General features: G+C 39.6%; 1 protein-coding gene and 1 long non-coding RNA gene across 6 annotated transcripts in view; one reads left to right on the forward strand and one right to left on the reverse strand.

Moving 5' to 3' along the window:
* Nucleotides 1-745: 745 nt before the first annotated feature.
* LOC105375943 (uncharacterized) lies at nt 746-9,182 on the reverse strand. Of its 2 annotated transcripts, none has more exons than XR_001746595.2 (3): nt 8,596-9,182; nt 2,268-2,385; nt 746-1,984 (listed from the first exon to the last, which is right to left on the reverse strand). It is a non-coding gene; the product is annotated as an uncharacterized LOC105375943 (long non-coding RNA). The 2 variants fall into 2 exon arrangements; XR_001746594.2 differs by lacking the exon at nt 8,596-9,182 and adding an exon at nt 8,159-8,304.
* DOCK8 (dedicator of cytokinesis 8) overlaps nt 21,289-23,007 on the forward strand; it is a 253,999-nt gene continuing 252,280 nt past the window's right edge. For all 4 annotated transcript variants that reach the window (XM_017015173.2, XM_047423927.1, XM_011518045.4 and 1 more), the window contains exon 1: nt 21,289-21,348. The gene's annotated coding sequence lies outside the window, so the exon portion shown is untranslated. The remainder of the gene's footprint in view (nt 21,349-23,007) is intronic.

Raw genomic sequence — 23,007 nt, forward strand, 5'->3', positions numbered from 1 at the left:
TGCTGCTTAGAAATTTCTTCTGCCAGGTACCCTAAATCATCTCTCTCAAGTTAAAAGTTCCACATATATCTATGGCAGGGGCAAAATGCCCCTAGTATCTTTACTAAAACATAAGAAGAGTCACCATTGCTCCAGTTCCCAACAAGTTTCTTGTTTCCATCTAAGACCACCTCAGCCTGGACTTTATTGTCTATATCACTGTCAGCATTTTGGGCAAAGTCATTCAACAGGTCTCTAGGAAGCTCCAAACTTTCCCACATATTCCTGTCTTCTGAGCCCTCAAAACTGTTCCAACCTCTGCTTGTTGCCCAGTTCCAAAGTTTCTTCCACATTTTCAGGTATCATTTCAGCAGCGCCCCACTCTACTTGTACCAATTTACTGTATTGTTTCATTTTTATGCTGCTGATAAAGACATACCTGAGACTGAGCAATTTGCAAAAGAAAGGGGTTTATTGGACTTACAGTTCCACATGGCTGGGGAGGCCTCACAATCATGGCGGAAGGCAAAAGGCACATCTCACATGGAACCAGACAGGAGAAGAGAGCTTATGCAGGGAAACTCATCTTTTTAAAACCATCAGATCTCGTGAGACTTTTTCACTATCCCGAGAACAGCACAGGAAAGACCTGCCCCCATAATTCAATTACCTCCCACCGGGTCCCCCCACAACACATGGGAATTCAAGATGAGATTTGGGTGGGGACACAGCCAAACCATATCACCCCCCCAAAAAAAATCCCGTTTAGATTTTTATGTTTATGAATATATGTATATGCATACATGTGCATGCAGAAAATTATAACAGAAAGATAGAGTATTACATAAGTAAATATGTATTTTTTATATGTACTGATTTGTAGAATAACAATTATAAGTGATATAAGGTGAAAGAAGCAATTTGTTCATAAGTATGTAGCATGATTCCATTTCAGTAAAAATTAACAAAAACATGCTTGTATGTGCATGGGCATATATTAATATGTGCTCATATATACATGCTATACATATATATATATGTATGCTGATATATGTATGTGGAAGCAATATGTTTGGGATGATACACACCCTTGCAATAACATGAACTACCTCAGGGAGTACTATAGATGACAGAGACAGTGGGGGAAGAGGAGCAATGTTACCTTAAAAAAAAACTTTGCATCCTATTACTGGTTACAAGAGGCATATAAAATTATTTTTAAAATTTTAAATAAATATGTTAGCAACCTTTGTATGGATGGAAAATTTTAAATATGTATGAAAATACTGATTGCGTATACCTTTTGAAATTCTACTGATAGGCATTTATCCTACATATTTACATATACAAACATTTATGACATTCATAGCACTATTGTTTTAAAGGTGAGATGTTGGAAACATCCTAGCTATTTAACTATAGGGGAATGACCAAATAAGTTTGGCTCACTCAAAGGATACCATGGAAGAGCAAGGCTTTGCATCGTATTTCGATATGAAACTGTTAGAAGCACCTTTATTTTGAATAGCCTCTAAGAAAAAGTTGGATAGAAAGAGTCTAAATGAAATATTCTGATTAATAACAGAACCTATACTATAAGATGGTGAATTTCTGATCAGAAAGGTGAAAAGTTCATCTATAGCTTAAGTGGACAAATTTAATTTTCTATAACATTCATATCTGATAGATTAAATAAACAGGTACAATTTCCTTAAGAAACATGCTTTATAAGTTTTATGGTCACTACATTCTTTAAAGTTAAAGGTTACATTCCTGGGAGATTAAATAAAAACTGCAGAGTTAACAGTTGACTTGCCTGAGGAGCTACTTGTTCTTCCTCAGTAGACATTGAAGAGAAAAGTAATGTAATACAACAGAAACAGAGCACGCACCTGGTAAACATGTAACAGCAAAAGGGGGTGCACAGGCCTTTGCCCTACCTGGCGGGTGTCCTCTGTTCGTTGTACTTCTGAGGTTGCCAGAATGTAAATGTTCATTTCACTATCTTAAATGAGCAGAGAAATAACCAGAATCAGACTTTGAATTCTAGAAGCTCTTGGATCAAGAAGATTCTGTCTTTCCAACGTTTGCATCAAATAACATCGTGACCTATACTATCTTTTTTAATATTAAGTGAAGCTTAATCAAAATTTTAGGTTTAAAATACAAGAGTCGTTAAAATGATACATCGTTAGGTAGAAAAACATGCAGAATAGTATGCTGTTTCATTTGGAGGGGAGGAAAAGAAAATAGAAAATGCTTAACATCACAGTTTTTATTTTTATTACCTCATGGAAGAACTTCTCTACAACCACTGATTTTCTTACTTGCTTTCTAAGCAATGTAGAATTTTAGTCACCACTTCACCATTAATTTCTTGTTATTAATCCATTGCCGTTTTCCCAGCTGAAAGAGAAAACTTCCTTTTAATCTTCTAACTCATTTTGAAACAATTTCAACTTACAAAAGTTACAAAAATAGTAGAGATTCACATATACCCTTCACTGTGTTTTCCTGAATGTTAATATCTTACTATCACTACCATGATCAAAAGCAGGTAATGAGCATCGATACGCTACCATTCACAAAACCAGAGACCTTATTCACATTTTGCCAGTTGTCCCACCGAAGACCTGTTTCTGGGCCAAGACCTAATCCAGAATCCCACATTGCATTCAGTTGTCACCTCTCAGTCTACTTTAATCAGAAGCATTGCTCAGTCTTTGTCTTCCAGGACCTTGACACTCTTGAGGAGTACTGGTCAGTTGTTTTGTAGAATGTTCCTTCGCTTGGATTTGTCTTATGTTTCAGCATGGTTAAATTCAGGTTATATATTTTTGGCAGGGATACTACAAGTTGATGTTGCATCCTTCTCTGTGCATCACTTCAGGAGGCACAAGACGTCCACCTGTGCTTTTACTAGAATGTTAACTTTGTCAGCAGGGTTCTGCCACAATAAAATTACTGTTTCCCTGATGCAGTTAATAAGTACCTGATGGGGAGATACTTTGAAACTATGTAAATGTCTTGTGTTTTCATCATACTCTAGCTCACAGTTGATCACCCATTATTCTTTTTCAAAATTACAGCTTTATTAAGGCACAACTTAGCCACTCATTTAAGTGTACAACTCAATGAGTTTTAATAACATTTATACAGTAGTGCCACAATCATCCCAATCCAGTCTTAGAACACTTTCACCATCCCAAAAAATTCCTTTGTGTCTGTGTACAATTAATCTCTTTAGCTTTGGCCCCAGGTAACCATTGGTCTGCCTTCTGTCTTTGTTTATACAATACACTGAATTTTCTCTCATTATTTACTTGCTTGCCTTTTTACTCTGAACACATATTAGTTTATGAGTGAGAAGACAATTTCTAACACATTGTTTGGTATATGACACAGGAAAGACACTGACCAGCCTGGAAGTCAAGAGAAATAATGGATTCTTTAGTGTCAGACTAAACATAAACTTTGAACATTCTAGATAGTAGCAGAACCTAAATTATCCAGTTGCCTTAGATCTTCAGTTAATTCATAAAAATAATTCCAATTAAATTCTTTCTCTGAATTTATAAAGTCAAAAGCATAACCTTTGATCCTTATATGCACAAAGCAATTTTGATTTTATCATGTCAACATGCCTTAGAAAAATGGTAAGGTCCAGGGGTTTTGTTTCTTTGTTTTTTTCTTGTTGTCATTTTGTTTTGTTTTCCTTTGGTTTGTTAGTTTTGAAGGCCTTCACTCTTTGGTTTGCTGTTTAAAATTAGTTTCTTCCGGAGCCAATTTCATTAACCCAGTGAAATATAATTTCAAGGACATTGTGTCTTACCCACACCCTCCAAGGTATGTTTTATATAATAACACAATGTTGTTAAAATCAGGATAATTTTATTTTTAAAAAACGTATATATCTAGCATCTCTCAAAAGAAAATCCTTAGATCTAGCAGTACATGGCCCAAGTTTCCACAGCTGGAGCAAGTTGTGGCCATCCACTTTAGACAGAATATGTTCTTTGGTTTGCCAAGGCCCCACCTATTCCCTATTGAATCACATCACAGCTGCTTCATTCTTGTAAGCTCCTTATCTAGCCCTGTTGGACACTTGAGTTTGTTTATGTATTTATTTATATATAAATTTTTATTTTATATATATATATATCTGTATAACCACAACCACAGATGTGTGCATATTAAAATTTAACTATTTTCCATAGTTAAATTTTGGCAGGGATACTACAAATTGATGTTGTAGTATCAATTGGCAGGGATACTACAAATTGATGTTGCCAATGCCTCACCTATTCCCCATTGAATCACACCACAATAGCTTCATTCTTGTAAGCTCCTTCTCTAGCCTTTCTGGACACTTGAGTTTGTTTATTTAGCCTTAGTAAAGTAAAGCTCACTAATGTTAAACTTACAGGTATCCTCCCCAACACATAAATACCGAATACACTCTACCATTTCTATCTCCCCACACTTCCAACGTTTAATTTTGGTTAGATTATTTCTTTTTCATTATTATGACTACGTAAACAATATCCACAGATGAGCTTTATAGTATCCTCTGATTCTTTTTTCATTCCTACTCAACTTTTTATTTTCCCTGAAATTAATAATTTTATGAGTTATAATTTTTAATGAGTTTTTATTGTAGTTTTGGTTGCATAATACCATATATTTATCATTAATTCATTCCCAAGCTCTTAAAAAGTTGCTTAAATCTCCTTTTCGTATGTTCAGATGAATCCAGTATTCTTTTAATTTCATTTTCTTCAAGAAATCTATCCTCGGGTCTTGTGATCTGCTCTGTGTTGGAAATTGTTGCCCTTTATGTTACATGCACAGCTCAGGGATCTTGCTGCAGATTCCCTTTTCTTCTGTCTTGTGCTGAATTCCCTTGATTCCTAAATCCTATGTTTTCCTCTTTCATAATTTATACCTTTATTTTTTGTAGAGCACATCCTCTAGTAGCTTCCTGAGAAAAAGCGTGCATCGAGTGAACTCTTTGAGACCTTGCATATCTTAAAATGTTTTTAGTATATACATAGATTCAGTTGATGGGGTGGCTCGTTCAGTAATCAGGCTATATTAGGCTATGCTACAGCAACATATCCCTAAAGTCTTAGTGGCTTAATATGAGAGGAGTTTATTTCTACTTGCATCCCAGACCAAAGCAGGCCAGCTAACACTCACACAAGGCTACTTTCATTGGGCAGTTCCAGAAGTTGGGAGTCCTTCACTTCAGCTGTCAGAATGAGGGGGTGAGAGTGCAGAGAAGGCACTACTACTCTTAATTGTCTCAGACTAGAAGTGGCTTCTTATCCCATTCATACTCCTTTTGTGACTATTATTTATACTATCTGGTCTAAGTCCACAGGGACTGGCAAATGTAGAGATGAATATTTGTTTACTTCATATCCTCTGACACAGTGAAGTTGAGAATTCTGGGTTGGAATTCTTTTCTCTCTCTCTTTTTTTTTTTTTTTTTTTTTTTGAGACGGAGTCTCATTCTGTCACCCAGGATGGAGTGCAGTGGCACGATCTCGGGTCACTGCAACCTCCACCTCCTGGGTTCAAGTGATTCTTCTGTCTCAGCCTTCTGAGTAGCTGGGATTACAGGCATGCGCCACCACGTCTGGCTAATTTTTGTATTTTTAGTAGAGATGGGGTTTCACCTTGTTGGTCAGGCTGGTCTCAAACTCCTGACCTGGTGATCTGCCCTCTGTGGCCTCCCAAAGTGCTGGGATTACAGGCGTGTTCCACCATGCCCAGCTAATTTTTGTATTTTTAGTAGAGACAGCGTTTCACCATGTTGGTCAGGCTGGTCTTGAACACCTGACCTGGTGATCCATCCTCCTCGCCTCCTAAAGTGCTGGGATTACAGGCGTGAGCCACCATGCCCGGCCTCTTTTCTCTTTTGAATGTGGTAGGCACTGCTCTGTGTCTTCCAACTTCCAGTCTCCAAATTGCTGGTGAGAAACCAGTTTAATTATTGACTCTTGGGTATGACTACTTCCTGTCTTCTGAGCACGGAAACACATAGGATTTTCACTTTGTTTCCAGTTTTTGTAGGCTGAATTGTGTCCCCCGCCCCACTTTCCACCAAAATTCACTCAGTGAAGCCCTAACCCCCAGTAGTTTAGAATATGACTGTATTTAGACGTGGGGCCTTTAAAGAGGTAATTAAGGTAAAATGAGGTCTAATGGGCAATTCTTAACCTAATATGACTGGTGTCCTTTTAAGAAGAGGAGACGAGGACACAGACAACAGTGACCAAGGGAAGACAGTATGAGGACACAACTAGAAGACAGCCATCTGTGAGCTAAGGAGAGAAGCGTCAGGAAAAAACGAAACTGCTGTCGCCTCGATCTTAGACTTCTAGCATCAAGAACCATGAGAAAACAAATTTCTGCTGTTCAAGCCACCCAGTCTGTGGTGTTTTGTTACTGCAGCTCTAGCAAACTAATATATCGGTATTTTAAAATCGCACAAATAATGTGACTTGGGATGGGTCTAACTCCATTCTTTTTTTTTTTTTTTTTTTCACTCGAGTAGTCTGTTACAATCTGAGAACTCATGTCCTTGGATTTTCTGGAATTATTTTATTGATTATTTCCTTTCTTCTCTTATCTCTGTTGCTCTCTGTGGATCGCCTCTTATTTAGATGTTGGACTTCTTATTTTAGTCCTTTAATTTTTTTCTTTTTCTTTTCTAACTCTCATTTTCTATATTTTTGCTCTGCTTACTGGGAGATTGGCTCCAATTTATCATCCAAACTTTCTCTGAATTTTTTATTCTACTATTATTTATTGTTCAAATTTCCCAGAGCTCCCTTTTTGTTTCTTGAATGTCCCTTTCTGAAACAGCATAAGACTGGTTTGTGGGTGCAATACAATATCTCCTCTTACGCCTCTGTGGATATTTTTTAAAGTTGTGAATCAATTGAAACTTTTTACTTTTTACTTTTATTGGTACATAATAGGTATTTATATTTATGGGGAACATAAGATTTTTTTTTTTTTTTTTTGAGACGGAGTTTTGCTCTTGTTGCCCAGGCTGGAGTGCAATGGTGCGGTCTCTGCTCACTGCAACCTCCGCCTCCCAGGTTCAAGTGATTCTCCTGCCTCAGCCTCCCGAGTAGCTTGGATTACAGGCATGAGCCACCATTCCCAGCTAACTTTGTATTTTTAGTAGAGATGGGGTTTCTCCATGTTAGTCAGGCTGGTCTCAAACTCCCGACCTCAGGTGATCTGCCCGCCTCAGCCTCCCAAAGTGCTGGGATTACAGGCATGAGCCACGTGCCCGGCAGGTATTTTAATGCAAGTATACAATGTGTGATAACCAAATCCAGGTAAATGGTATATCCGTTGCCTCAAGCATTTATCCTTTTTTTGTGTAACTAACATGCCAATTATACTCTTTTAGTTATTTTAAATGTACGGTAAATTATTGTTGACTGTAGTCACCCTGTTGTGCTAGCAACTATTAGATTTATTCATTCTATCTAATTATATTTTTGTACTCATTAACCACCCACCTCCCACCACAACTACCCTTCCAGCCTCTGGTAACCATCATCTTACTCTATCTCCCTGAGTTCAACTGTTTTCATTTTTAGGTCCCACAAATGAGTGAGAACATGTGAAATTTGCTTTTTTGGGCCTGGCTTATTTCACTTAACATAAGGTCCTCCAGTTCCAACCATGTTGTTGCAAATGACATTTCTCATTCTTTTTTATGGCTGAATAGTACTCCATTGTGTATATGTACCACATTTAAAAAAAATCTGTTCATCTGTTGATGGACACTTAAGTTGCTTCCAAATCTTGGCTATTATGAATAGTGCTACAGTAAACATGAGAGTGCAGATATCTTTTCAATATACTGATTTCCTTTCTTTGGGGTATATATCTAGCAGTGGGATTGTTGAATTATGATGGTTCTATTTTTAGTCTTTAGAGGAACCTCCATACTGTTCTCCATAGTGGCTGTACTACGCTCTGTGGATATTAATAATAGTTTTCTTCTCCCAGCATAGTCTTGGTTAGTTCCAAATTATTTTCTTTGTTTGTTTGTTTGCTTTGGTCTCTACCTTTCATGCTGGTAGTTCTCCTTAGATGTCTGATAATCTTTGGTAGTCTATTCAAATTTAGGAGTGAGGTACTAAAAGACCTTATTGGAAGTTCTGATTCCATGAATGAAACTTCTTGTCCACCAGCTTCAACTGGGTCATGTGGCTGGGCCGTTTAGTTGGGTCATTCTTGACATCAGCATCTTTATGTCTTTCCTCTGGAAGTGGTCAGATACCCCAGAGAATAATTTTCTGATCTCTAGTGGTCTGGAATTAGAATGGGGTAGAAGACATGGGGTTCTGTTAGGTTATAAATGTTCCCATAAATTTTCACTACCTCTTCATTTATATTACTGAACTCCATCCCCAAATGTGCCAAATGTTCTCCAGGAGGTAACTTTCTCTATTTACCTTATCCAGCCTCTGCCAGGCTGGGAGAGGGACCATTATCTGGCTATACAGGTTTGAAGAGAGGATGTAGGGATCTAACAACTTCTTATACAGACTTATAACCCAATCCTCCTATTTTTGACCCTACCTTTATCCCCATGTTCAGTGGTATCTGACATTTGGAAGCTGTTTGGGAGGTCTACGATGTAGTCAGGTACTTCTGAGTTTTCTCCAAGACAAACTTAGGGATCATCTTTCTCAGGTGTGTTACCTCTTGTCTCTATGGCTTCTGAATTCCACAACCTTGTTGTTCTTGTCTTCCTTTCTAATTTCATCATCATTGTGGGTTTCTGCCTTAAAAAAATAATCCCTTTACTGTCATTTTATTAGGTTTCAGAAGAAAGCCAAAGTAAGTGCATTTCTATAATTGATCACCTCTACTCAGTAGTCTATTTTGCATTTTTACAAGGAAATGACAAGTTTACTCAGGAGTGTTTGAAGACAAACAGGCCTGCTTTATAATTTTGCTACTGGCCATCCCTACCTTCAGTGCACTTGGTCAACAATTACGTCCACAAAACAGAAATTACAACTCTGACTCGTGCTTTTATCTGAGGAACCACAAGTCATTCACTTTTATGGTTCACTTGTCAACTGTAAGGGAAACTCTAACTGCTAATAACTTTAACTATATAGCCAAAAGGATCTTGTAAAACTCTTCCTATCTTCCTAGCTTTAGTCTCTGCATATAGTTCAAGGTTACTACTAACACTCCCCGACACCTGATTTTCTTCTGAAATACGAAAACCTCCCATTTTTGAGTGTTCAGTGTGTGCTAGAGACTGGGATAGGCGCATTTACATGGATGATCCCATTTAATCCTCCCCAAAACTTACAGTGTCTGGGCCAGGTGCGGTGGCTCACGCCTGTAATCCCAGCACTTTGGGAGGCCAAGGCAGGCGGATCATCTGAGATCAGGAGTTCGAGACCAGCCTGGCCAATATGGTAAAACCCCGTCTCTACAAAAAATGCAAAAATTAGCCAGGCATGGTGGCGCGCGCCTGTAGTCCCAGCTACTCTGAAAGCTGAGGCAGGAGAATCGCTTGAACCCAGGAGGCAGAGGTTGCAGTGAGCCAAGATCGAGGCACTGCACTCCAGCCTGGGCAACAGAGCAAGACTCCGTCTCAAAACAACAACAACAACAACAAAACCCTTATAGTGTCCATGTTATTATCTGTATTTTACAAAGAGGAAAATTGAGGCTCTGAAAAGTTAAAGGATTTGTTCAACTTAACACATCTATTAAGTGGTGAAACCAGGGTTTGAATCCAAGTCAGCCTTACTCCCAACCACTTTCCACTTCATTATGTTGTCTTATTGCTGACTTCCTGCCAGGACTTCCCAAGTGTTCATTTTCACGTCTGCAGCTCATTTAATTACTTTTAGTTCCTTTTTCCTTTTCCAATCCAGTCATCTATACTATTTACCCTATGTCAGTGAATGACATCCAGTTGGTTCAGTATTTCAAAATTTCTGGCCCACCTTCTCTTCTCATCTGTATCTGGTTACCTTTTTATCCACCTTATATATCATTTCCTAGGAAAGATTCCATGACCTCCCAAGGATTGACTTTGTACTTTTCATGTGCTTTTACAGCACAAACAGAATCCTCTTTGCCCTATCAAAGTAGTAATTACCAGGTATAGAAATTATCTGGGCCGGGCGCGGTGGCTCACGCCTGTAATCCCAGCACTTTGGGAGGCCGAGGCGGGTGGATCATGAGGTCAGGAGATCGAGACCATCCTGGCTAACAAGGTGAAACCCCGTCTCTACTAAAAATACAAAAAATTAGCCGGGCGCGGTGGCGGGCGCCTGTAGTCCCAGCTACTCGGGAGGCTGAGGCAGGAGAATGGCGTGAACCCGGGAAGCGGAGCTTGCAGTGAGCCGAGATTGCGCCACTGCAGTCCGCAGTCCGGCCTGGGCGACAGAGCGAGACTCCGTCTCAAAAAAAAAAAAAAAAAAAAAAAAAGAAATTATCTGTTTGCTTATTTACTCCCCAACTACACTAGGCTCCTAAGGACTGTGGCAATATTCATCTTATTTATGAGTCATATCTACAGCCTAGCACAGTGCCTGGCACATAGCAGGTGCTCACTACATATTTTGTTGAATGAATGCATAAATGAATGAGGTTACACACATACCTCTATGACATAGTTTGGATATTAGTTCCCTCCAAATATCATGTTGAAATTTCATCCCTAATGTGGGAGGTGAGGCCTAGTTGGAGGTGTTTGGGTCAGGGGGGCAGATCCCTCATGAGTTGCTTGGTGTCATTAGGTTAGGATTGAGTGAATTCGCGCTCTTAGTTCCTGTGGGATCTGGCTGCCTAAAAGAGCATGGCACTCCTCCCCTCTCTCTTGCTCCCTCCCTTGCCATGTGACATGCCTACTCTCTCTTGGCCTCCCCCCATGGTTGGAAACTTCATGAGGTCCTCACCAGAAGCAGATGCTGGTGCCATGCTTCTTGCAGAGCCTGAAGAACCGTGAGTCAAAGAAATGTCTTATTTTATTAAATTACCCAGCCTCAGATATTCCTTTATAACAATGCAAAATGGATTAAGACACTCGTATTTATTAGTCCATTCTCACAGTGCTCGGCTATTTATAAACGAAAGAGATTTAATTGACTCATAGTTCGGGGAGGCCTCAGGAAACTTACAATCATGGCGGAACGGGAAGCAAACACATCCTTCTTCACATGGCAGCAGCAAGGAGAGGTGCTGAGCAAAAGGCGGAAAAGTCCTGGATAAAACCATCAGATCTCATGAGAACTCACTCACTATCATGAGAATAGCAGCATGGGCTAACCGCCCCCATGATTCAATTACCTCCCACTGGGTAACATGTGGGGATTATGGGAACTACAATTCAAGATGAGATTTGGGGGGGACACAGCCAAACCATATCACAGTGTCTGAATTATTAATAAAATATTTTCTAATCTAAAGTAATATTCCAATGATATTTTAGCATTTGCCAAATAGAGTTCCATAAAAGAAAAGTCTTTAGTGCATATTATTTATTATTCAGGGTGTAGATACTATTTTAACTTCCACATTCTAAATTATAGTGTGGGTATCAATCTATGAAGTAGGTGCTGACAAGTTGTCAACATTACTGAATTTTATGGTGAAGTTTTAAATTTGAATTTTTATTCAAATATAAATGAAAAGACCATTTTATTCTCAGGTAAAAAATCTATCATGCTTTGATGCTTTTCACTTTAATTGAAAAAAGACTCATTATAAAAGTACAATGCAAGAAATATTTAGAAAAATATTCCTGATCTCCAGTTGTTACTGTACCTAGATTTTTCTTGGGACCTATGTGATAAAACTTATCATGATTCTTGAAGAAATAGGAGTTCATACAACTGTTATCAGAATTTATATAAAATGTTTCTCAGAAAATGTGGTTTCTCCAGCTCGAACATTCTATAACTCTAAGCCAAATTGAAAGAGCAGATGGATGGGATAAAACACAAAGTATGGAAATAAATAATAAACTGCTACCCTGAAAAAGCCTACCTCTGCACATTGTTTAAAAATTGGAAAAAATCCAACTTCTGTGCTCTGATATTCAATGCAAGTCATTAGAATAAGGTGAGACTCTTCCTGTGTATTCAGATTGAAATCAGGGATGGTGTAGGGAGGCCATGGTCAACTTTTGAGCTACCCTTGAGGGAAGAAATTAATTGATCAAATATTAACTGCCCAAGTATATTCATAGGATGGCCATCCAGTAATGAGAATGAACAGTCTCCAACTAAAGGCAACAATATAGATGAATCTCAGAAACATGATATTGACCAGACAGAAAAGATTCCACTTACATAAACTTCAAAAGAAGATAAAACTGATCTATGACATTAATAGTCAGAATATTCATTATCTTTGAGGGAACTAAACTCGGAAGCCACATGATAGGGCATCTGGAAGCTAGTAATGTCCTCTTTCTTGATCTGTTACATTGGTGTGTTTATTTCATTAGATTTATTGAGCTATACATTTACCACCGTGTACTTGTCTCTGTATATGTTTTGCATTGAAATAAATTTTACCAATAAAATAATAAAGCAAAATAAAGCGTTAACTGCTTACTGTTTTCAATAATATGCTCCTCTTTCCAAGAGGCCCCCCATACAGGCGAAAGTGCCCTGAATTATGACCCCAAATATGGCCTAATGGCAGGATATCTGAAACTATAGTAACAGGATGTTGGAAAAAAAAGTTTCCCTGGGATAATCGAATACAACAAAAGGGGTATTCCAAAACCAGATCACCATGTGCAGACCTTATCATGAAAATTCTGAGAACCATTTCCATGACTATTGGATTCCACAAGATTTTTGAAGATATTTTTAGGGGGAGGATTTTATCAAGGAGAATTCCCACTTCTGCTTATAGGGAAGAAAAATGAGGAAGGGCTGCTACTTCTAACAAGGCTTCTTAAGACACCTTTCAGAAAGCTTAAATGACCATTTTCATGAACTTAAATGGAGCTGGGAGACCCAGAGGATGCTGCCTGACTCTGGCCCAACGATGCTAAAGTAGCCTGGGGCACCAGGGTAAGGTGGTATTGGAATCAGCAAGTCTTCTCGGGCCAGGAAAGTCATGAGCATTTTCAGTAGAGCAGATGTGTGCCATGTGGGAGAGATCCAGCCAAGGGTCCTTTGGGGTTCTGTCCAGTACGATCACTTAGAGAGCGGAGGGCCCTACCAGCAGGAAGCTAGACGGGGGCTACAAATGCGTCACAAGTAAACACCAAGAACGCATGCAACTAGAGATGCATGAACCAGGTACGATGACCTGTAGGAGAGAAGTCTTCTGGAAAACAGTCTTCCAAAGGACCCAAGCAAGCCCCAGGAAAAGCGTCAGTTTTGAACAACCACCAGGCATAGAATGTGCAAAACCAGATTACATCAGTGTCCATTCTGTAAGAGCTTTCTTGTTCCTTAGCATTCCTCCAACAGCAAGAGGTCAGAAATGGTGGGCCAGCCGAGATGGGAGAAGAAAAGAGAAATGGCACAAAGTGGAGAGAAGACACCGACCATACCTCCTTTCCTCTCTTTCCCACCACAGGTGGACAGCCCAAAGCACACTCCAACTGGAGGAAGGTTTGCCATTAAAGATAAGGTGGAGTTTTGAATATTATCTTGGCTAGTAAAAGTCATGGGGTCTGCCCACTATCGTATGGGAGGGGCGAGGATTACACCTACTTAATGCGCTTTGAAGAGGCATTGGGAAACCATAATAAAGATGTGGGATTTTTTTTCTTTTCTTTCTTTTTTTCTTTCCCTTTGTTTTGTTTTGTTTTTGAGACAGGATCTGGCTCTGTGGCCCAGTCTGGAGTGCAGCGGCACGATCACAGCTCACTGCAGCCTCTGTCTCCTGGGCTCAAGCCAACCTTTCACCTCAGCCTCCAAGTAGCTGGGACTACAGGCACATGCCACCACCATGCCTGGCTAATTTTTTTATTTTTATTTTTTGGTAGGGATGGGGTTTTGCCTCATTGCCCAGTCTGGTCTCAAACTCCCAGGGTCAAGTGATCTGCCCCCCTCAGCCTCCCAAAGTGTTGGGATTACAGGCATGAGCCACAATGCCCGGCCAAGATGTGTTTTGATTTTACCTACTAGTAATGCCTTCACTGTATGGGTTACATAGACATTTACATTAGTATACTCAGTTTTTTAAAAGTTTATTGCTGAACGATGATCTACTCCTGGAGAGAGAACCATTTCAGCATCTTAAGTTCACAGTATGCCTTCCTATACCAGCACTAAGCTCCCCTTTGACCCTGTGCTTTTCCTTCTGAGCTCTGTTCCCCATGTTAGGAATCCTGCCTCTCAAAATACCTACTTAATTGCCATTTTTGCAAACGATTCCTCTCAACTCTGTTCGAATAATCCAAGCTAAAATTCAAGCTAATAAAGGTTTTTAATCACATCTTTTAGGAATATTTTCCTTTTATTTCATGACTCTCAAGCAATGGTTCTCAAACTTTGATATGTAACAGAATCATCTGAGGAACTTGGCATACCTGTAAAGGCCAATACTTCATTTACTTCAATGAGTCTGAGTCTTTGTGTTTGTTATCAGTTCTCCAGGCAATTCTGATACTGCCAAAGTTTGAGAGCTTCTGTCTTAAAAGACACAAATTGCTAATGGATGCGACACAGATTTGGAGACATGGCAGTCATGTTGCCTTGATCTAACATCCAGAGTTGACCTCTTACTCTACACCATCATCATGCTGCTGCATAGTTCACAAGAATCACAGAGATCATGCAGTTGGATTGTGTCATGGTATCATAACCAGTCTCTGCTCCAGCCCAGTCAATTGCTCCAGCCCAGCCAATTGAGAGCTTGCTTTTCCCTCTCTGAAAATGTCCTGGTGCTTGTCACGGTCTCTGAATTGTTATGGTGTTATGTAGGGAAGTGAGTTGGGGTGGAGTGAGCCAGAAGGATATTGAAGAATACTGAAATGGGAAAAAGGCATTTCATAATATTATATGAAATTCGGTCTGATGCTGAGAGAAAGCAGGGACCAACAACATTTCTAAAGATTCTGTAAACCTGCCTGGGCTTTGTCCTCCAAATGGTTCAAGGTATTTAGGGAGATTATAGTTACTTAAAGAGAGATGCCCCAAAGTAGTCACATATTACATAAAAGATGAATATAAATCAATAAGAAAAACACTAAGGCCCTAATAGACAAGTGGGGAATGACATAAACAGACACAAAAGAAAATATAGGGCCGGGCGCGGTGGCTCAAGCCTGTAATCCCAGCACTTTGGGAGGCCGAGGCGGGCGGATCACAAGGTCAGGAGATCGAGACCATCCTGGCTAACCCGGTGAAACCCTGTCTCTACTAAAAATACAAAAAAATTAGCTGGGTGTGGTGGTGGGAGCCTGTAGTCCCAGCTACTCAGGAGGCTGAGGCAGGAGAATGGCGTGAACCCAAGAGGTGGAGCTTGCAGTGAGCCGAGATCGCGCCACTGCACTCCAGCCTGGGCGACAGAGCGAGACTCCGTCTCAAAAAAAAAAAAAAAAAAAAAAAAAAAAAAAAAAAAAAAAAGAAAATATAACTATGTAGTGAACTAACACGGAAAAAATTCAACTCACCTAATAAACACATAAAAATATTTTGAAATGTACTTGTAGCTTATTAAAATTGCAAAAATGAAAAAAACTCAAAGAGGGTTCTATGAAATAGAATTTCTTATAACATTGCTTATAAATTGCTACAAACCAACAAAAAACAAAATTATGTTGGTAGCATTTTACCTTTAATTTTTTATCTTGAAAACATACACACCATGAATTTCTGCTTACTTTTCATCTAGATTCACCAATTGTTTTATTTTATTATTATTATTATTTGTAGTCTGATTCTAATAGAAATTACTAATAGCAGCAGCAGCAGCAGCATTATTGATGACCCCCTAAGAGGAAGTTGTAGACATCATACCATTCTGTCCCTTTTACCCTAAATAATTTAGTGTGTATCTTCTAAGAATAAGGATATTCTCTTTCATAAATGTATTGCTGGAAAAAAAGGGGCCTGATTCAGACCCCAGGAGAGGGTTCTTGGATCTCATGCAGGAAGGAATTCAAGGCAAATTGCAGAGTGCAGTGAGAAGAGAGTTTATTGAAAGTTATTCAGTTACAGAGTAGAGCATCCTTAGAAAGCAAGAGGAGGAATGCACCATATTTGTTTTAAACTCTTCTTATATAGGGGTCTCATCTAAGTAAAAGTAAGCTAAGTTATAGCTACGTGTGGGTGGGCTGACAGCATGACAAAATTTAGTACTTTGTTGATTTAAAGAACATTACCCTTGGGCATTTTAGTGTGTAAACCCATCAAAGCACGACTATAATCACCTTAAAAGCATATATTGTTATGTAATATTGAGGTATCTAGACATTCTGCTGTTGGAGGAATTTGTCCTTGCAAGCATTACTAAACTGCTTCCTTAGCCATATGGCTCTAAAGCAACCCAAATGTCAACTAGTAATAAAATTCACAGCCAAAATGTCCCGAGAGCATACTCAATATCTAGTAATATGCTCTGTGCTTTATGTATATTATCTTAATTAATATTTTTAATAAAAGGTATGGCAGCCTCTTTTCACTGCCTACACAACTCTTCTCCCCTTTGTTCCTCTTTCATTTTGGCAGCTCAAGAAAATGAATCACCATAGTTCTGAGCCAACCATGGGTTATCCACTTTTCTCAGTCAGATATTCTCTCTTTCCCAGCATCCCTTGCAGCTGAGGATGATCATCTGACCCTTTTCTGGCCAGTGAACACTATAGACAAATTTCCTGGAGGACTTCTGGGAAAGATGGAACCTCCCATGGAGAAAGCCCTGGCCTCTTCCTTTCTTCCATTTTGTGATGCTGTGGCTGCTTGGAGTCATGGGAGCCATCTTTTAGCCTTGAGGTCATAAGAATGACAACCAAAGGCCCATGTGCTGAGGACGGCAGAGGGAAGGGACAGAAAGAACCTCAGTTCATACGGCACTGTTGAGTGGCTGGCCCAGTTCTGGACCATCTCATCTGCTTTACTTAGATAATAAATTTAGATGTTTAAGCCACTTTCAATTGGACTTTCAGTACGTTGTTGCTATAGACATTACTAATGGATACAGGTAGTGATAATAATAGAAATAGTTACTTGTCACTTAGCATAAGTGCTTTCTATTATTTAATCTTTATAACCATCCTATGAAAAAGGTGCCACTATTAAGCCCATTTGATGGGTAAAGTTGAATACAGAGACATTAATAATGTGCCAAAAGTCACATAGCTCATAAGGAAAAAGTCAGATGTGAATCCAGGTGTTTGGACTTCAGAGTTCAAACTCTCAACCACTGCATTATCCTGCCTCCTCCTAAGCAAGGACATGGCCATGTACATTATGACATATATGGCCAATGGAAAATTAGTAAATACATGGTGAGAAAGAGTCAGTTGAAATGCTCATAAGAAGGTATAATTATTTCATTTATCTGCTTTCTTATGCTCAATTTTACTAGTCAAGTCTCTTTGTAGCTTACTAATTTAAACAAAAAAAAAATTATCAGAAGGCAGAATAGTGGAGTTGTCATAAGGGCAGACTTTAGGGTCAAACTCCTGTGTTTCAATCCTGATGCCACTAATTACAAGCTAGGTAACCTTAGGCAGTTTTCTTAATCTGTGCCTCAATTTCCTCCTCTGTAAAGTGGAGATAATGACAATGCATTTCATATTTGTAAAATGAAGATAAACTGAAACAATATATTCTTAAATAATACTTGGCATACAATAACTAATCAATCAATATTCGCTTTTGATCAGGAATCTCTCTCTTTTTCCTTCTTCTCGGCTCTGCCTTCTTCCCATCTCAGGCAGCTATCCTGGTGGTGGCTAAAAGGCCACAAAATGTCCAGGCTTACATCCTCTCCTATTTCATTTGCAACAAAATGAGAAAGTCTCCACTGCAAATGGTTCCAGCAAGAGTTCTGGGTTTGAGGCTTACTGACTTTTATTGGTCCTCTGACTTAATTATGAAGGACAGGATGGACATGATCTGACGAGCCAGACTTAGGTTGGAGACCCACTTTTGGTGCCTACAGTGGAGGCAGCTCCATCAAGACTGTGGTCTGAAAACGGAGGAAGCGTCTTTTTCAGAAAATACAGAAAATGCAGATGCTGCTCCCAGAAATGGGAGAAATGGATACTGAATCAATACAGCAATATGTGCCTGCTATACCCACCTCATCCACAGAGCTAGTGGTGACATGTAAACACACACAACAAAAAAGAACAAAATAAATATTTGAGGGCATCAAGATAATGGATATAAAATAGTAAATACAGAAATAAGATTAACGCAGAAAATGAATACAGCTAAATAAATATAAAATGCAAAATTGAAACTTTCCAGCAATGTGACTGTAGCATGAAAGATTAATACATTTTTCATTTAAAAAAGACTGAGAGGAAATATTCCAACATGCTGACAGCTTTGTAATGTGCCTAGAGGTGAGGGGCGGGGGTGGGCAGGAGTTTCTCTCTTAGCATAGTGAGGCCAATATTATAACCTATAAGAAGTAAGGTCAAGATAAATGAATGGGAAGAATATGATTTTTTCATATATATTTGATGGGGGTCTTCAGAAGGAAATTAATTTTTTTCCATAGAAGAATGTTATCCACAGCCTGGAATAGAAGCCCACCACTGGATCTCCCCCAAGCATAGAACAGAGCCCAACTTTCCCCTCTGTAGGGCCAGCAGAAACTGGAAGGGGTGGAGAGGGGAGTTCACAAGATTTGGTGGCTGCCTGGGAAATTGTCCAGACATAAGAACTAGACAAAGGATGTGCAATGGAAGGTTTAGGGAGGAGAAGACAGACTGATGGGGCAGTGGGTAAATAGAGAGGCCTGAGGGAAGTGCAGGGGGAAGTTGGGAGTCAGGAGTGAGGCAGTGACCAGAGGCACGTAGGCACTCAAATGAGGGACAAAAATGACCACACTACACAATCATCTCTTGACTCTCTGTCCCCGTAATTTATTTTTCTCTCCGTGAGATATGACTTTGGGAAAATTGCCTAAATTTTTCCCTAAAGAACTATGTATTTTGCATTAGTGTCCAATATGTGAGCTCAGGTTGAGAAAGGTGGAGCTGACGGTGCCAGGTCTAGGAGACATAATGTTCCCCACCCTCTGCTGCCATGTTCTACTGGGATCAGCAGCACCCTCACTGTGGACAGCCGGTGGCAAGGCCTCCCCCAAGAGACTATGACCTAGATACAGAAACAGCAATCGCCGTGTGCGGGTGTCAACAGCCTGTGAGATCAAGCTCGATCACACTCAGACCCTGCCCACCTCCAAGGCTCTATTTTTGCTACTCACTTCACTCCGCACCCCCGGGCTCCCATCATTCTTCTAGTTCTCAGGATAAGTTGCGGTGTCCCCTGTCTCCCTGCCTTTGCACAAGTGCTCCTTCTGCCTCATGAACTTGTTTAAGACCCAGTTCCACGGTTACAGCGTCGGTATAGTCATTCTTCCTCAGCGTCAATCTCTCTGCCACTACCCTCTCCCAAGAACAAGTCATTTCCTCTCTGTGCTTCCTCACTTGCCCAGGCTGTTATATGGCAAAATGTTCCTGGGCCTGAGCCTCTTCTTTCCTTCTTTACGTGTGTCTCATTCCTGGACTATGAGTTCTGGGAAGTCAGGGAACAACTATTTTTTGTTTGGCCCCTACTATCACCTAGCCCAGTGCATGACATATGGTAACCACTTGGTAAAGGTCTGGAAGAACGAACAGAAGACACACAGATGATAGAGTGAACTTATTCACTCATTAATGAATTAATCCAAAATTCTTTTAGTTATAAAATGCTATGGTACAAATATTCCTACTGAATATGCAATAGCATTGTACATTTGAATATATTCTAAATGCTATATTTAAAACACTAATATGTATATTAAAGTTATATATAAAATATAAAAAATCTGTATGTGTATATATCTAAAACACAATGATAATTTTTTTTTTTTTTTTTTTGAGACGGAGTTTCGCTCTTGTTGCCCAGGCTGGACTGCAATGGTGTGATCTCGGCTCACCGCAACCTCTGCCTCCCACGTTCAAGCGATTCTCCGGCCTCATCCTCCCTAGTAGCTGGGATTACAGGCATGTGCCACCATGCCAGGTTAATTTTGTATTTTTAGTAGAGACGGAGTTTCTCCATGTTGGTCAGGCTCGTCTCGAACTCCTGACCTCAGGTGATCTGCCCGCCTCGGCCTCCCAAAGTGCTGGGATTACAGACATGAGTCACCGTGCCTGGCCTCAATGATAATTTTTAAAGGAAAGTTTGCTAATCTTTGTTCTTTTCATATTGAAAGATTTTTTATGACAAAACAAGGAATGACGTGAAGAAAATTAGGAGCTACAAATTCTAATATCTAAAGTATGGCTGGTTTTAAATACCTGCACTCAAATCTTTCTGTATGTTTCACCAATTGTAAGACAACAATAAAGATATCTACTTGCTGGTTTGATTTTTCAAACCAAGAAACAAATACAAAACAGAGTTGAAAGATATTCATAAAAAGGCACAACTAAAATAAGAGAATAAAAAGGTAAAAACTGTCATTGTCTCCTGAAAGACAAGTGAAACTTGGCCATTCCCATTCAAGTTCACTTATTCATTCATTTATTCAATAAATACTTTTTGAGCACCTACTATATGCCAGGGCTCTAGACAGTAGAGATAGAGCACAAATTAACCAAACAAAAACCTCTGCATTGATGGAACTTTTATTCTAGAAGCATAAGAGATAATAAACAAATAAATAAAATATATAGTATGTCAGATGGTCATAACAGCTATGGAGAAAAACAAAGTTGGAAAAGGAGTTAGAAAGTGTCAGGACAAGGGAAGGGGGCACTGTCATGTTAACTAGATGTTCTTGGAAGGTGACATTTGAACTAAATCTGGGGAGGTCCTGCGTGGTTTTGGGGAAGAAGGAAGGGACATGAAAATGATCACACTTTTTTTTCCTCTCTAGTCCTGTCCTCAGGATCTTGCATTCCACTGCGCTGTGTTTATTGGTAATGACCCACACTTTTAATTAATTAAATGATGCTGTCAGACTGAAAGAGACACTCCATCCAATAGAGATGGAGCATGGTAGCTTGACTCAGACCCTGAGGGATGGGCAGAGACTGGATGTGGTGCGAGGCGAGGACAGCAGGAAGGATAACGTAAGCAGGAAGAGGGCCTGGGCAGACAGGAGCACCGCCTGCTTTAGGGACAAGCTGGAGATCTTCCCTGCTCCAACAGAAAGGTAAAGAATAAAGCTGGTTTTGTGAAGTGGGCATACGAGCTAGCTAGAAAAGGTCACGCTTGGTCATAGAGGCTACAGGAAGTCACCAAAGCTAAATGAGCAGAGAAGAAATATGGTGAAACAGGTATTTTAGTAAACTTCATCTAGTGATAGAAACAGATGAGATAGGAGAAAGAAGAGGCTACAGGCAGTGAAGCCATTTAAAATCTTATTTTTGTTATCTAGGTATTAATTTATAAGGGCTGGACCGGAATGAAAGCCACTGTGAGAACAGTGATATTTACAAAGAAGTGATATTTATAAGAAATAAATGGCAGACCTTGGTAGGTGATTAGATCTGAAGGACACAGGAGGAAAAAAAGTTAGAGCTGACGTATTTCTAAAGTTCAGAGAGAGGCAAGCAGATGGAGTCATTCCAAGATACAGGCCTCTGTGATCCAAAGACCGTGTGACTTACTCGGGATTACACAATTAGCAAAAAGCTGAAGCCAGAACCCAGATTTCCTGCTTTTCCCTCCACTGGATGACTCCAAAGTTTTAAACCTGGAAAATGAGGAAGTAGTGTGCCACCACCGACCCCCCAAAAAATGTGTGATTATGGAGAGATAGCTAGCTTCCAGTTAAGTAGGGTAGATGGAGAATTTTAGTTTTATACTGGAGTTTGAAGATGTTAGAGTACAGAAATCTGGGAAATAGGCAAAACTTTAGGATAGGAAATGGCTCTGCCCTTACTAGTTTGTAATCTTGGTCAAGTCACTTAACTTCTCTAAGCCTCAGTTTCTCCAGTTGCAAAGAGGTATGTGTGGGGGGGTTAATGTTATTATTTAATGGTTGCTATGAATTAATTTTTATAAAGGACTTGGAGCAGTACCCGGTACAAGATAAGTGTTATTTAGTTGTTTGTTCAATAAAATAGGTAAGATGCAATGTAGAGAAAGAGGTCGGCTTTCTGGGGAGGTAAGAAGAAGATGTGGGGAAAACTAGAGCATTTAGGATAATTGATGTATGGTCTGAGATAGAAGTCAAGGGAAGAGTTGTATAAAGGTGAAAAACAAAATTGAATGACACAAAGATACGGAGAAAGAGGAAGGCCAAGAGAGACCATCAGATGCGGAAAGAAGGAGGCCTCCCAGAGTTCTCTCTGGACAGAGGGCTGATGGAAAACGAAAGAGGCAGTGAGAATAAGGAAGAAAGGCACTTGGATGGCTATTTGCCAGCAATATGTGAATGTATCTAACAGCAGATCAAACTTGAAAACAGGCATTTGACTAAATTAATGGATAACACATTCATGGTGAATTGTTAAAAGAGTGTTAAGGAAATCTGGAGACAATTCTAACCATCAAGAAATTGACAGCACAGAGGATAATAATGCTGGCCTAACCTTCATGGTTAGGTACCAAATACTAAATCTATTGCAGTATGATCTGAGGCAAGATGGAAGGTTTTATGATTCCCACATTCACCCAAAAAGTTTCCTTGATTGCAAATGCTGAAAATCTGAGATGCTTTCATTACATTTTATTTATGTTTGTGTGAAACCAGTATATTTTTGTTCTATATGAAAATGTATGTCATAAACATTCAGAAATTCAGAGGAGTTCATCCGAAAGGCTGACATGGTACACCGTGGACCGAAGCCTCTGGGGCAAAATGTTT

Source organism: Homo sapiens, chromosome 9 (genome assembly GCF_000001405.40).
Source record: "Homo sapiens chromosome 9, GRCh38.p14 Primary Assembly".
In the NCBI taxonomy this organism is placed as follows: domain Eukaryota; kingdom Metazoa; phylum Chordata; class Mammalia; order Primates; family Hominidae; genus Homo; species Homo sapiens.